Source organism: Homo sapiens, chromosome 2, assembly GCF_000001405.40.
Source record: "Homo sapiens chromosome 2, GRCh38.p14 Primary Assembly".
NCBI lineage: Eukaryota > Metazoa > Chordata > Mammalia > Primates > Hominidae > Homo > Homo sapiens.
In genome coordinates, this window is record NC_000002.12 from 196351363 (window position 1) to 196363930 (window position 12568).

General features: G+C 41.6%; 1 protein-coding gene across 12 annotated transcripts in view; it reads right to left on the reverse strand.

Annotated features, from left to right (window-relative positions):
• HECW2 (HECT, C2 and WW domain containing E3 ubiquitin protein ligase 2) overlaps positions 1-12568 on the reverse strand; it is a 399483-nt gene that overhangs the window by 157291 nt on the left and 229624 nt on the right. For 2 of the 12 annotated variants that reach the window (NM_001304840.3, XM_006712648.5), the window contains exon 1: positions 10450-10815. The exons of the other annotated variants lie outside the window; for them this stretch is intronic. The gene's annotated coding sequence lies outside the window, so the exon portion shown is untranslated. Of the gene's footprint in view, positions 1-10449; positions 10816-12568 lie in introns of those variants that run through there. 12 annotated transcript variants of the gene reach the window in all.

A 12568-nucleotide genomic window follows, 5' to 3' on the forward strand; every position in this document is an offset into this window, starting at 1 on the left:
TAAGATAATAAGAGAATATATAGGAAACATGAACAGACATATCAGACATATCCAAACATATTCTAGATTTGGAAATGTTTTTATGTCTATGTTAAATAACTCCAAAACCTCCATACGGTACTTGAAATAAAATAGAAACAAAAAAAGTATCCAAAGCACTTACCCTCCTACCAATCAACCCAGGAGAGTTAAAAATAGACGAGAAATTTTTTGAGAAAGATGCCATGTGACCGATTGTGCCAGAGAGCAGAAAAATAATACTTACAAATTTTCTTTTGCTTTAAAGTAATTCCATCTCCTCTCTACATTTTCTTAAAAAATGGCATAAATTCTAAATTGATTTTCAATTATCTTTTGTATATAAATTGAAAACAACTATGTCCTGAGATTGGAACCATAAAGATGCTTGATCTTATTATGGGTACACTCGGGAATTAGATGCCTGTCTGGAATTTGGGATTGGAGAGCAATACTAAGCTAGGAGTTGAATCAAGATTATCATTCTAGACCTGGGCAAAGAACACCCCTTCAGAGGGACTGCTTGACTGTTAAAATGGTACAAATTTACCAGCAAGTACCAGGCCAGTTACTGGAATCCCAGAGCTACATTGAGGAGAAAACTGTGACGACGACTTTGAGAGCTGAGCTATACTGTGGAAGACAGGTGGGTCTTCACAACTGAATGTACCAAATGGAGCACCAATTTTATTAAGTGCTAGGAGAATTCACTGGCAAACTTCCTTATGAATTTGCAAACTTAGCATTAGTTTTTAACACAATCTCCTTAGATGCCCAATTCTTTATATTAAAGTCTTCTCTGAATGGAGACAAGAGTGTGTCTGACAATCATGGCACCACCAGGCCACCTGCTAAGAGGGCACCTACTGGCGACTACGGCTTTGAAGCCACTTGAATGGCACCAGAATGATTTGCTGAGAACAGTGTGCCCGAGAATGCAGAAATGGGCACCAGCACATTACTGGGTAGAAAAAAACAACACGGGCTTAGAAGAGCCAATGACAAGACTGCAAGGTCTGGCCTTGGGAATATCTGTGCACTGAAAGGTGTGCAGGACACTATCTCTGACATGGACCTCATCACTGCCCTGGAAAGGAATGCTGGCAGAGTGGAGAGGCACAGGGCACACTTGTTGAACTCACAATATGTACTATCAAGTTTAAGAGAGATGTTTTATTGCTGTATCCTCTATAGCAGGGTATCACAAGCAGGGAGCCAACTGGAGAATGTGAAATGTCTTACTAGATCCAAACTGGGTGACATATAGTCAAGTCTGAACCACACCCCTGAGGGGTCACCTGCACACTCACACTTCTAGATGTACTAGGCAAAGGGAGGAGGCTCTGCTCAGCAACTTCCTAGATAAAAACAATTGGTCCTAAACTATTTGATTAAACACTCATTTGACAAGGAAAAGAAATTACTGACAGCCCAGTGAGAAGAAACACTTGGACTCATTTCAGTAAATCCCTCCCAAGAGTTACAGTCATGGCCCAGTATACCAGATAATAAGGAGCAGTTCAGAAATGGCTTACAAAAGAATCAATTTCAAACACACGTCACACTGGCATATAGAAACATGTCTCTCTTCTGTTCAGTGGCTCCCTATTCTTCTCAGAGTGAAATCCAAAGTGTTTATGATGGCTTGCAGTGTCCACAGGACATGGCTTCCCACTCCCTCCAATTACAGCTCTGACCTCACCCTTTCCTACTTTCCCCGCCTCGCTCCTTACCCCCTTCCAGCCACATTGACCTCCCTGATGTCCCCAAAGGTGTGGTCAGGATTTGGCTCCAGGGACATTGCTCTGGCCATCCCATTCACCTGGAACTTTCCCCGAGATACTGTTATGGCTCAATTCCTCCCTTCAATTTTGTGGCTTATACATCACCTTTTCAATGAGACCTACTCTGACTGCTTCATTTTGAAACGCAAGTCTTCCTCCAGCATTCCCAGACTATCTTACTTTGCTCAATTTCCTATCCATAATCCTTATCATCTTCTCACATACTCTATAAGAATCTAGTTACACATTTAAATATATTGTCTGTCTTCTTCTGTTGAATGTAAACTCCAAGAGGTCAAGGAATTTTGTCTATTCTGTTTACTGATGTATCCCAAGTGCCTAGAATAAAACCTGACACATAGTAGGTGCTAATATTTGGTTGAATGGAAGATATTGATAATGACAAGAGGCAGATAAATGCCTAGGTACATAGGGGCGAATCCCTGATGAAATGCCACCTTCAAGCCAAAAACAGCCTGAAGGCTGAAAGACCACACTGCTGGTTCTGGATGAAAGCCGTGATTCAGAGTGAGAACCTCTGTTCATGTTTGCCCACCCTTTCCCCATTGATTCTTTCTGAATAATGCTTTTTAACCAACCAAATGTTGCCTTTTCCAATACTGCCTATGGTCTGTCCCTCTCCCATCCTGTGCCTATAAAAACCTCAGACTCAGCCACACTGGCAGAGACAACCTGACTTAGGGTGATAGATGACCTGACTTAGGGTTAGAGACTACTTTCCTGTCCCCTCTCCATTGAGAGCTGTTTCACTGCTCAGTATAATTCTCCAACCTCATCACCCTTCAATTGTCAGTATGACCTCATTCTTCTTGGATGTGGGGCAAGAACTCAGGACCCACCGAATGCAAGTAATCAAAAGGCTGTTAATACTGTGGCCCTTTGCCCTCTGCCAGTGGAGGGCAGCCACCCCATGCAACAGGAAGCAACATCAGGGCCAAGCCCCAGCTCTGGAGCCACAGGCCAGAGTGGGGCTAGGAGCTAACTGGGCTGTTAATACACCACCATCAGTCAGGCTGCAGATAGTGGGACTAAAAGAGCTAATTACCACATTGTAACACCCCTTCTGAGGCTTCAGGGTTGTGGCCACCCCTGCCTGGGCACCACCGCATTCCCATCAGGGTGACATGGCTGGTCCAGCCACAAGCTCTGCATGGAGCCTGCTGCTGTACCAGTGGTTGGAATGGCCGGCCAGACCCCACACTCACTTGCTCACATACTCCCTCCCGCTAGGGGCTGAGCACACAGTCGCAGTGGCCCTGGGTTCCACACTGGAGTGCAAGCCAACCAAGGCCTGGTGGGCTGACTAGACAGGGTGCCTCCTGCTGTGGGGGCTGAGAAAAATCCTGCATCAGTATCTTGATATCTTCTTTTGATTATATGATATTAATTGAATATTAGTACTATATTCTTTAAATATACAAAAAAGAAATAACATTTTCACCATGGAACACACAAAGCCTTTTTAAAGAGATCTCCATCTTATTCAGTGTAGAGAAAAACAGGGACAACATTGCAAATTCTTGGTAAGCATTATCAGGCGAATTCCACAAAACCAGCTTAAACTCTGGATCTTTATAATAAGAATTTCCAATTAACATTCACACTTAATTCATCCACACTGCTGATGTGACATTCAACTTTGTTTATATCCTACAGTTGGTCACACCAAAGCACAAAAAAGATTAAGAGGCTTACCTAAGATCACATAACCAGTTTCGAGTAAGGCCTTTGAAACATCTTAAAGTTCCTTCTTGACAAGGATTTTCAGAACATTTCTAAATTAAGATTTTTTTCCCCAAACTGAATGTTTTACTACATAGGATTTGTGAGAACTCAAATTCTTTGATAATGCTCAAATGGAAAATTACTAAAGGCTTACTTACATCAAACAAGAAACTTATAATTTATGGTGGATATTGTAAAACTTACTATAAATCTCATGTGAAAACAGAATAAGGCATTTGCAATAGTTGCATCCAATTTCATGATAAAAATGTTAGCAGGAATGAGGTGTTCTTTGTAAAACTTCAGACTTCAAGATTTCCAAAGTCTCTTTCAAGTACACACTGCTGTCAGTACATGATTTTCCCCATCATACTTGCATGGCTACTTTCCTTTGGCAATTATGCTTTATAATGAAAATGTAAACCCGAACCCTTTTAAATGGTGAAGTATGGCCAGCATTTGGTAGCTCGGTAAACACCTTAGCACAAGATCCAACATTAGGCCCTTCAAGAATTTTCTATGACAATGATGATAAAATGCCTCAATCCTATCCCCTGTAACAAGGCTCAAAGTAGTAGAACAAGACTTCCTGCTGTCAAAGAACTTTCATAAGAAAGAGCAGAGTAAATGCTCTTTTTCCATTTGGATAAACAGGCCAAAGACAGTTGAAAAGAACATTTTAAGCCTCAAAGACAGAATGAAAACAGCAATTATAGAAGGGATAGAGAAAATGAAATTTACAAAAATTCATTCAACAAATATTTATTGAGCATCTACTATCTACCAGGCAATATTCTAAGTGACAGGGATTTGGGTAGGAGTAAAAGAGTCAAAGTCCCTGTCCTGGTGGAGATTTTGGTCTGGTGGGGAAAGTGGTCAGTAAGCAGATACATAAGCAAAAATGTAATGTCAAGTAGTAGTAACTGGCTTAAAGAAAGAAAGCTTGGGAATGGGGTGGAGAGAGGTTGGTAGGAGAGTACAATTTTACATAGGTTGGTCAGGGAAGCATTTGAACAGGAACCTGAATGAAGCAGGGGACTGAACCACAGGGAGATTTTGGGAAAAGGCGTAACACAAAAATGCAAAAGCCCTGAAACAGAAGCAAGCCTACCATGTTCCAAGGAACAGCCAAGTGATGCAGCTACAGCAGCATGGATGAGGCAGAGAGTGGGAGAAGAAGACATGAGAGAAACAGACAGGCAGGGGCCAGCTTCCGGACTGTAACAATAACAATAACACTCTCTAGAACCTACTATGTGCCAGTGCTGTTCTAGTGTTTTACTTTGATTCACTCATTTAAACCTCTAACAACCCTTTAGGGTAGGAACTATTATCTATAAAATTTTTAACAATGAGGAGAGTAAAACAGGAAGAGATTAAGAAATTTGTCTAGGATGATAAAGCTGGTACGGCAGTCACCTCGTATCCATAGTTTCACTTTCTGCAATTTCCATTACCCAAAGTTAACCTTAGTCTGAAAATATTAAATGGAAAATTCCAGAAACAAACAACTCATAAGTTTTAGATTGTGTACATTCTGAGTAGTGTGATGAAATTTTGCATTGTCCCTTCCATCCCGCCCGGATGTAAATCATCTCTCTGTCCAGCAGGTCCATACTGTAGATGCTCCCTGCTTGTCAGCCACTTAGTAGCCATCTCAATTATCAGATCAGCTGTCATGGTATCTCATCACGCAGGCATTTTGTCATCTTGCATCATCACAAAAAGAAGAAGAAGGGTGAGTACAACACAGTAAGATATTCTCAGAGGAAGAGATCACAATCAAAGAAGCTATTTTGAGAGAGAGAGACCACATTCACCTAACTTTTGTTATAATATATTGTTATAATTGTTCTATTTTGTTTTAGTTACTGTTAATCTCTTACTGTGCCTAATTTATAAAGTAAACTTTATCATAGGTATATATGTATAGGGAATAACAGTGTATGGTAGGGTTCAGCACTATCTGCAGGTTCAGAATCCACTGGGGGTCTTGGAACGTATCCCCCGTGGATAAGGTGGAATTACTGTATGCACAGAGTGAACCCAGTCTTGCTCCAGTGACCATGCTCCTCAACACTACACCTTACTGTCTGTCTAGACCACACTCTGAGGATAATGGAAAGTCATTAAAGGATTTAAAGCAGGGAAGTGACATGATCTGCATTAAAAAATGATAAAGATAACTCTGGCTGCTGTGTGCAGAACAGATGGTAGAACGGCAAGAGAGGATGGCACACGATGCTTCATGCCCAGGCCAACGACCAAGCATGGGAGCCATAACCTGGACATGACTCACCTCCTTCTCCATCCTCCCTGTGCAGACAGAGCTATAGCCGATACAAATATCCACCTTAGTGCAAAAGGCTGTGACCCAATCTCGCACTCTTCAGTTTGACAACCCTGGTGGGGGGCTTGGGCGGGGGGGCGGCACTCATCCTCCTCTAAGCCCTCTCCAAGTCAAACACCATCCTGTAATTTCACTGTCTACCTCCACCATGCTCTTCTCCTCCCTCTCTTTATTCAAACAACTCCCAAAAGTCCAATTTTCCCCACACTCAATTTTAATCAGTCAAAATATAAAGCTCTGATTGTCCATCACTTTGTAGCTCAGTAAAACCCTTAATGCAACATTTTTACTATAGCACTAGTGTTCAGCCTACATAAACCTTTATTCACCAACAAAGTTTGGCTCTGTGTCCCTACCCAAATTACCAAATTGTAATCCCCATGTGCCAAGGGAAGGACTTGTAATCCCCACATGTCGAGGGAGGGAGGTCATTGGATCATGGGGGTGGTTCTCTCCATGCTGTTCTCATGATAGCAAGTGAGTTCTCATGAGATCTGATGGTTTTGTAAGGCAGTTTTCCCTGCTTTTGCTCACTTCTCTCTCCTGCCACCTTGCGAAGAAGGTACCTGCTTCCCCTTCACCTTCTGCCATGATCGTAAGTTTCCTGAGGCCTCCCCAGCCATGTGGAACTGTGAGTCAATTAAATCTCTTTTGTGTATAAATTATCCAGTCTTAGGGAAGTTCTTTATAGTAGTGTGAAATGGACTAATACACCAACAGAAGTACATTTTCCTTTTCTATGTATATATCACACATTACAGGTGCAATGAGAATATTACACCACTTGATACTCATATTGCCAGGCTGCCACTGCTGGGTAACAGCTGATTTGGGTTTAAATTCCATTTCTCCCATTCGCTGGATTTATGACCTTGGGCAAATCTTGAAAACTGCATAGACTCCATTTTCTTAATCTATAAAATGATAGTAATCACACTTCGGCTCAGAAAGCTGTGAGGAGTACATGAGTATAGTATGTGAACCTGGCATATATCAGGAGCTAAACATACGAGTTTTAAAAACCTATTTCGGACCGGGCACGGTGGCTCATACCTGTAATCCCAGCACTTTGGGAGGCTGAGGCAGGTGGATCACTTGAGTACTTGAGTTCGAGATCGGCCTGACCAACATGATGAAACCCTGTCTCTACTAAAAACACAAAAAATTAGCTGGGCATGGTGGCAGGTGCCTATAATCCCAGCTACTTGGGAGGCTGAGGCAGGAGAATTGCTTGAATCTCCCTTGAACACAGGAGGCGGAGGTTGCAGTGAGCCGAGATCGCGCCACTGCACTCCAGCCTGGGAGACAGAGCAAGACTCTGTCTCAAAAAAAAAAAAAAAAAAAAAAAAAAAAAAAAGAAACTCTATTTATTCCTTCTTTTAAAGGGAGCTATGTTTTCATTTCATTACTCAAAAGCACAATTCTCCAACTTCATTTCCTTAGCTTTTACTTTTAAAATTTATTTTATTCTAATTTCTCATAAATATACATAAATTAAAACAAAGGCATGCTTATTTATGTTTCTTGAAACTCTGCTTTCTTAATCCATAGATGCCAAAAGAACAGGCAGCATGGGTGAAGTCCTTACTGTACAGTGATTGTAAACTATGCCACTAAGAGCATAGCACAGTATCTCACATGTAGTATCTCCATACTGCCCAGTTCTTCAACAGAAGGTCACTCAAAGCTTAAAATTCTGTCAATGAGCTTTAAGCCTGGCTTGATAAAGAACCAGATGGAGGTGCCCTCATCTCCCTAACACAATGAAACCAGGACCTTGAATATAGTGTTCAACTTGAGAATCTCTACCTTGTCACTATGTGTGTAAAGAGTTACCAGGAATGATAATAGCAATTTGATTACACACCCTCCTTTCTTTCCTCTAATTATTTAAAACATACCATGCAGGCCAGGCACGGTGGCTCATGCCTGTAATCCCAGCATGTTAGGAGGCCAAGGCAGGTGGATCATGAGGTCAGGAGATCGATACCATCCTGGCCAACATGGTGAAATCCTGTTTCTACTGAAAATACAAAAATTAGCTGGGTGTGATGGCACACATCTGTAGTCCCAGCTACTCAGGAGGCTGAGGCAGGAGAATCGCTTGAACCTGGGAGGCAGAGGTTGCAGTGAGCCGAGGTGGTGCCACTGCACTCCAGCCTGGCAACAGAGCGAGACTCCATCTTAAAACAAACAAACAAACAAACAAACAAACAAAACCATGCATATATTAAGCCTGCTCTCAAAGATAATCTCTTTTAATAGTAAGTGAAGTTTAGCAAATTCTAGAACCTGTAGGATGTTACTTTTACATTGCACCTAAGGCTGAAAATTCAGAGAAATATACAATCATTATGAAATACAATGTTCAATACAAAAGCATCCTTTGGTTAGGAGTAAATTATTCCTTTGATCTTAATGAGTTCATATAATATGGATGAGGAACTATAATAGCTAATTTTATTTAAAGAAGGAGGTTACTCTTATTGAACTAAACCAAATACTTGTTGGAGCTCATCTAATCTCAGCCTGAAAATATTAGTTAGAAGCATGTGGGAATGGCTGGGGGCAGTGGCTTATGCCTGTAATACCAGCACTTTGGGAGGCCAAGATAGGAGGATTGCTTGACGCTATGAGTTAGAGACTAGCCTGGGCAACACAGCAAACCCTGCCTCTACAAATAATTTTTTACAATTAGCTGGGCACGGTGTCACACACCTGCAGTTCTAGCTACTCAGGATGCTGAGGCAGGAGGATTGCTTGAGCCCCAGGAATTCCAGACTGCAGTGAGCTATGATCATGCCACTGCACTCCAGCCTAGGCAACAGAGAGAGACCCTGTCTCTAAAAAAAAATTACACAAAAAGAGCAGGGTAGCAAACCTCCAAAGAGCTAAAAACAGAACTGCCATTCGACCCAGCAATCCCACTTCTGGGTATATACCCAAAACAATACAAATCATTCTATCATAATAGCACATGCCTGCGCATGTTCACTGCAGCACTATTCACAAGAGCAAAGACATGGAATCAACCTAAATGCCCATCAATGACAAATGGGATAAAGAAAATGTAGTACATATACACCATGGGATACTATGCAGCCATAAAAAAGAATGAGATCATGTATTTTGCAGGAGCATGGATGGAGCTGGAGGCCATTATTCTTAGCAAACTAACACAGGAACAGAAAACCAAATACTGCATGTTCTCACTTGTAAGTGGGAGCTAAGAGATGAGACTCATGGACACAAAAAAGGGAACAACAGACACTGGAGCCTACTCGAGGGTGAAGGATGGGAGGAGAGAGAGGATCAGAAAAAAAAATTAAGCCTAGTGGCTTAGTACCTGAGTGACAAAATAATCTCTTCAACAAACTCCTGTGACACAAGTTTACCTACCTAACAAACCTGCATATGTACCCCTGAACCTAAAATAGGAAAAAAAACAGGTGGGAGAAATATTTCTGAAACATTCATTGCTCCTGATCCTAAAGAATAGTGTTATGAAGTGACTGCTCTCTGTGGGTCCCTCCCCAAAACTGCTTTATCAGAAGATCAGTTACCTTTCCAGAGATGACTGCTCATGTAAGTCTTTACTAAATCTTCAACATACTTTTCACTAAACTGTGCTCAATGAGGGCACTACAGGCATTCTAGTGGGTAATTCTTTGTGAGAGTCTATCCAATACATTGCAGAAACATTAGCATCCTTGGCTCTCAGGCACTAAATGCCAGTTGCACCCTACATGGCAATAAAAATGAACATCACCACCCCTCTTGAGAATCACTGACTGGCATTTAATAGCCAAAAAGTAAAAAATTTCACTGTATAAAACTAACTTGTAAGGAATTAGGATAAAACTAAAATTTTGCCCTGGAGTTGTTCCAGTTTTTAAATAATTAATTAAAGTGGATTTTCTGCTTGCAAATTTTAGAGGTCTATAGAAAACTGAGTCAGTTTGCCACAGTTGCCACAAGATACTACATAAAAACCATGGTTTTATTCTCAAGTTAAAAGTGTTGCTGTAAGACTGTCATTCAATCAACAGTCTCTAGAATATGGATGTCTATGAATACTTGTCCATTTGAACTTTACCCTAAAAGTAAATCTGTTTTCACATCTCACTCCCTGAGAGAAGAACTTTAAAATTTGTCAAAAACCATGATTATTCCAGGGACAGATAACCGGCCATGAAATCTATTTAGACTCAACCTAAGGCAATTTTCAAAAGCATTTTCTTGTAGGTAGAACCTGTACTTAACAACACAATCCATTTAAAACAAGCAGAACCCTAAAAATTCACAATGAGGTGACTGTCTATATGTAACAGTTTTGCATGCTTTAATCTCAGCACTGATCTCTTATATCCAGTTGCCAAGTGATAAATGTGCCACATAGTTTGTTAATAATTGTCCCTCAGCCAGCTGGGAGGGGACCACTTTTAAGAGCTTTTCAAAGTGAAAGGCAGAGAAAACTGTAAATCCCAAACAGCTGGACAAGGAAATCAAGTGACAGTGGAATTCATTCCACAGCACTTTCCAATATCTTACCTCATATAATCCCAAAGGTTTTAAAATCCATCAGTCAAATGAGACTTAGGCAGCAGCAAGAAGAAACATGGCATTCTTCCTTAAAATCATACACCTGGCCAACCCACGTGGCAGTTTCATTCATAGGAGCAGCCAGAGCTGAACTGAAGTCAAGGCGGGTCTGGAGTTCTAAGGTGGCTGTGAAAGCTCTGCAGGTCCACTTCACGGATGCTCCTGCTTCTCTTCCTCTTCCCCCAAAGTTCTAGAAATGAAATACTAGACAGGATTCCGGCAGGTCTCTAACAAGAGGCTCCTGTCCAGTATGAATGACACTAAAAGCCACTCCTGCCTTTCATCAAGACTTATCACTGTCCAGGCATCCTAAGTGAAAAAATGTATCACATCCCCTCGGCTGAGGCAGTCGTGGCCACACCCCTGTAAAGGGTACAGGATGCAATCGCCCCATCCTCCCCTCAGCTTCCTTCCTTTGCTTTTCCATGGGAGAATTCCAAAGAATGAGTTATGTGTACACACACACACACACACACACACACACACACACACACACACACACACACACACACACACACAGAGTGGGCTGATGTCAAACAAGCTGACTGCAATCCCAGAAAGGGGAGCTTGCTATTTGATTTACTCAGAATAGAGTGGTCACTACCTGAGAACTCCAACTTACCATTACCATAAATCAGACATAGCATTCATTTAGGTTACTGAAATGGGCTTACAGTATTTTAACTAATCCAGAGAGAAATTTGTGGACTTGTGATTTCAAACTGTGAAAAAGGACTAAAGCTTTTTCAAACGTAATATAGCTTTAATGAAAATTCAAACATGCGGTTATCAATGCAGAAGTTATTTTCAAACCTGACTTTTAATGTGAAAACAGATAGAATCATCAATCTAGCTAATGCTCTTGTCTTATACTGGAAAGAGTTGGGGTAGGGAAATCCCCAGTCCAGATCCACCATTCTTTAATGGAGAAAGGGGCTTTCTGAAGCTGTTAGCCCACCTGTGTCAGTGGTTGCAATTACAAGGTGCTGGTTTAATGTAATCAAAGGCTATAAGACCATCTCTCTCCAGCAACCTCCAGGAAAACTAGATGAAATGGTCTTACATGTCAGGTACATTTGCTGTGAAAAGATGCAAACTAGATTTAAGCTTCACACTACATTTGATGGCTGCAATTACCTCTCTATTGTTCCCTTAACCCAGACACAGTTTGCCCTGAAGCTTCGAAGGGCCACAGAGCTTTGGGCTGATTCTGGAATTGGATGAGTGAACACAGCAAGCCAGGCACTCCAGGATCACCATCACCCTGTCCAGGCCTCTTCTGGACATGCAAACCCAGCCCAGTTTTAGAACAAATCACTATGACTTTCCAGTGTCCTAGCAAACAACAATAATAGCAAGCATGTTCAGAATGGTTACTATGTGCCAGGGACACATAGAAGATGCTTTAAAAATAGTATCAAATGAGTGTCACTGTGCTCTAAGAATAAGGTCAGTAGTGTCATTAGGCCCATGTTACAGATGAGAAAACTAAGGCTCACCGAGAAGAAGTGATAACAGCCAGGATTTAAAGTCTCATCTGAAAGACACTTAAACCCAAGCTCTTTTAAGATACTCTGCCTTCCTCATATAACACTCTTGAAAATGCCAGCAACCTCACTAATTTAGGTGGCCAATGGGTCCACAGTGGGCTCAGTCACCACTGGGAGATTAAGAAAAATAAATCTAGGCCAGGAACCATGGCTCACGCCTATAATCCAAGCACTTTGGGAGGCCAAAGTAGGAGGGTCGCATGAGGCCAGGAGTTCAAGATCATGGTGAGACACCATCTCTACAAAAACATGTTTTTTAAACTTAGCTTGGCATGGTGGCATGCACCTGTAGTGCCAGCTACTCGGGAGGCTGAGGTGGGAGGAGCGCTTGAGCCCAGGAGTTTGAGGCTACAGTGAGCTACAATCCTGCCAATGCTAATCAGCCTGGGCAACAGAGTGAGATCCTGTCTCTAAAAAGAAAAAGAAAGGAGGAAAAGAAAGAATAAGAAATCTAGAAAGAATAAATATATTTCCTCTTTTTGGCATCAAAGTTGGCTACAGCCTATGGACAACAAATA